This window comes from Homo sapiens, chromosome 8 (assembly GCF_000001405.40).
Source record: "Homo sapiens chromosome 8, GRCh38.p14 Primary Assembly".
Classification (NCBI taxonomy): domain Eukaryota; kingdom Metazoa; phylum Chordata; class Mammalia; order Primates; family Hominidae; genus Homo; species Homo sapiens.
In genome coordinates this window covers 69368796-69369967 of record NC_000008.11, presented here as the reverse complement: position 1 = coordinate 69369967, position 1172 = coordinate 69368796, and the positions used below count along the sequence as shown (strand labels likewise).

Sequence of the window (1172 nt, the reverse complement as noted above, 5' to 3'; positions counted from 1 at the left end):
AAACACACTTTTTGAAAAATATATTCTGCCAGTTTAAGCATTTAGCCCATGAGCATTTTCAAGAGGTTTATCTGAGTTTTGTAGTTAGAAAAAAAAATACTCATTAAAAACAAAACAAAACAAAACAAAACAAAACAAAACAAAAACACCCAGAGTGAGCAAGGCCTTTGTTCTTCAGGGAATCCTAATGTCAGGCTCAGCGATGGCCCCAGCGACAGGGCCACAGCAACAGGGCTGCTGCACCCCCAGCCGCCTCTACCCAAAAGCTCCCTCCAGCAATGGCAAAACTGACTCTTCCCCTACTTGGGAGCTCCAGAAGATGTGAAACCAATCTGAAGGTTAATACTGGGACCTCTTGTTACAAATTGCAGCGAGATTAATGCAGAAAATGCAAACAAGAAGAAATGCAGGGTCTGGCTCATTCCCCTGAGATAGCAGAGGGGAAATTTCTAGGGAGATCAGGTTTCATTTTTGTGTAATTACATACTCTGTTGAATTTAATTATTTCATAGTTAAATTCCTGGAAGATAAATGTCTCCTTGGTATATACCTTCATTTTCTTTGTGGTGAAGTCAAACTTTTTCTAAGTTTTTTTTCAATGAGAAATTGTGTTTTAGGTAATGTTCAAAGTATGGTATGGAATGAGAGCTCTCTTTTCCAAGTGCTTTGGTTTTTTGTTTTGCCGAGCTCATTTTATGTGAAAAATTAAAACTTGGTTAGGGCTCTTTATTGTCATACTACAGGCCCCGATCCTCATCTCATCTGGCTTTCTGAGGCTACTGTTGGACTTTTCAAGGTCTGATTATTAGGCCATTTAAAGGGTCAGCTCCTGCCTGAGCCACCCCGCTGGGCTGGCAGTAACCTGCAAGGAGATGAGGTTTTGAAAGATTTAACTCAGAGGCTGGAGAGTTCAACATAAGGCCAGACCTTCTGTAACTTTTCTCGTGCGAGTTTGACAACTTCGTCTGTCTAAATTGGGTCCAAGGTAGATTGCTGCCAAGTGTGGTCATGGGAAGAACACTGGTGGGACACCTGGTTTCTTTCTACGTTCAGCTCTGCCGCTAATTTGCTACGTGACTTGAACATTCATTCAGCATTTATCCAACATTCGTGAATGACTCTCAGGTGGCAGACTGATGGTGCGTTGCCGGTTTTCCTCCTCAATGTTGGAA

General features: G+C 42.0%; 1 annotated feature.

The window, feature by feature from the left end:
* Positions 243-749: an enhancer, noted in NCBI's record as "H3K4me1 hESC enhancer chr8:70281454-70281960 (GRCh37/hg19 assembly coordinates)". NCBI's record gives its function as "activates a minimal SCP1, AML or CMV promoter by ChIP-STARR-seq in primed H9 embryonic stem cells {active_cell/tissue: H9 hESC(primed)}" and the evidence as "EXISTENCE:reporter gene assay evidence [ECO:0000049][PMID:30033119]".